General features: G+C 31.8%; 1 annotated feature.

Moving 5' to 3' along the window:
• Positions 1,089-2,059: an enhancer, noted in NCBI's record as "VISTA enhancer hs886". NCBI's record gives its function as "enhancer in: forebrain[9/11]" and the evidence as "EXISTENCE:transgenic organism evidence [ECO:0001131][PMID:17130149]".

The raw sequence follows: 2,439 nt of genomic DNA on the forward strand, positions 1-2,439 counted from the left end.
GAGGAGGGAGACCTCATCTTCTGAGACAAGAATAAAAGATACAATGGTGGACTCAGAGGTAAAGTAATTATAAGTCTTGGTGAATGTGTGTGGTGGATAGGGAGGTATGACTATTCTTTCTCAAAGTAAGTGGTAATTTAACTATTGGGGAAAGGGAGATGCTTGATATTTTGAGGACATTGATAAAGTCTAAGCCAAGCCACCTTTTTTTTTTTGAATAATTACTGAACCATTCCTTTTCTTTAGCAAGTACCATTACTTGAATATAATTGACTCTACTAAAAGTCTTCATATATTTATAATAATCATTGTTAAATCAAAATTATTTTCTAAAAATATCTAGGCTACCATAACATAAATAACATATCACAATATTTTCAAAGACAGTTATCATTTAGCTTATTCATATAATAATTATCCCGTTAACTTTTTTATTTTCTGAGGTGATAAATCTACCTATTTTCATTAAGATTTTATGCAAGCATAATTTATACTACATATAACAAGTTTTTTTCAACTCACAATGACCTTTTAAAATTGTTAATAAGAGTATATAAGGGGTTTTAGAAAACTCCTTGGCTTGTAGGTGTGAGAGAAAGTCACATTTATTATTACTAGAAGCAGTGTTCTGTTGGCATATTACAATGTGGCAGACAATCCTTCAACAATTAATTACCAGTAAAGTAATTATAGAATATCCTTTGATGTTTATAATGTTTTAATTGAAGTAAAAATGTGAGAATATGCTTCAGGGGAATATAATATTTTAATTATTTATGGGCCAAGATATCTATATACTTTGACTAGAGTGCATTTCTCTATTCTGTGGCATCTCTGTTATAATAGAACATTTGTAGACTAAAAAAATAGGGTGTTTTCCCCCCACAGCGTATTACAGTGAATGTAGTCTACTTTATAATCCTCAGGGTTCTTTTAACTTGACGTGAATCAAACACCTTAAGGAAACAGAAACTAAGACTGAAAGTTTTGACAAATTAGTTTTGAAACCTTCACAAACTAAACCTGTTTTTGATATTGGTTTCAAAAAGTATGCATAGAAACTTGACATGAAGTAGCTAAATTTATGCACTCAATTGATATTTATATGTGTGCAGGTCTATCAACGTTATTGAAAAGTTAATCCAAAGGATTTATTGATTACTCTCAATTTCTCAGATACTGTCAGTTCACTTTTGAAAATTATTCTCTTATGTAATATTGCACTCTTTTCAGTAAAAAGGAGAGTTTGTGGCTGTTAAATATGCATGAGGCACAATAGTTTCACAACAAATCAAATTTAATTAAATGATGCATTTCCTCCACTTACAAAAGGTTTATTAAAGGTTTATTTGCTCATGCAAATTAAAGTGTTAGAGTAAAAATCCACATGAAACTTGGCACTAACAATTAAAAAAATATTGAAAGATTTCTCGCCTCGCTGCAATACCTTGCTATGTTTAAACTGCTCAGCTTGTCATTTAGAATCTTTAATGAAACCAGGGAGGAGGCTATTTATTTGCATAATAGGACATAATTTGCTGTGGTGAGGTTTTAATTATTTATAGGCTGTCTGAAATATTTAAAATGGCATCACTAAGGAGCATGAAGTGTTGGATAATGCCTTCATTTCAGGTTTCCTGCCGTTTCTTTTATGGGTCAAGCGATTTATTTCTAATTAGCATACCAGGCTAGTGGCTTTAAAAACATAAGGAAAACAAATTGGTTTCAGTCTGTTTGCAGCTTGAGTAGTTGGAGACGGCCAAGGGTCACTGACGGAGACTGAGCAGAGTTAAGAGATGAAGCCAGAAGCCATCCCAGCACATGGAAATCACTGACTCAACAGAGCCATACTTTCATTTGTGCACACTGATTACTGTATGTAGTAGCTTCTCTTTGGTAGGTAGTGGGTTAGAGTTAATGGATTTCATGTTAATTGTCCCTTAAATATTTTCTACCATTAACACATTTCTTATTGGAAATGATGTGTAAGCAACAGAAAATATTCCATTTCCTTGGATAAAAGATACAGTAATTACTGTGTGCATAGGGAAAAATTCGGCAGTTTCAGGGTGAGATTTAACATTTAAGTATATGCAATCTTATTTATATACAAGAACAAGAGCCTGTGGTTAAAACACAATAGGGTTCTTTTTTAATAAACCATATGGAAACTCATATATCTTGTGAGAGGTTGTGAATTAGCAGAGTACACTAAAATATGTTCGAATTTCTAAAGCATTCTTATTGTGCATTGTCTGTGTTCTAGGTAAAAGGAAAAAAAAAACTCAGGAATCATCTATAAGGTCTCTTATGTTATGATAAATGGATTTTCATGTTCTTTACTATCTATTTTAAATATGATAATTTTCTTGAAAGTAGTTTAAAAGTGGTCATGTTGTAAACATCATTGTATAGCCAGGAGAAATGTGTTTACTGCAA

Source organism: Homo sapiens, chromosome 4, assembly GCF_000001405.40.
Source record: "Homo sapiens chromosome 4, GRCh38.p14 Primary Assembly".
Classification (NCBI taxonomy): domain Eukaryota; kingdom Metazoa; phylum Chordata; class Mammalia; order Primates; family Hominidae; genus Homo; species Homo sapiens.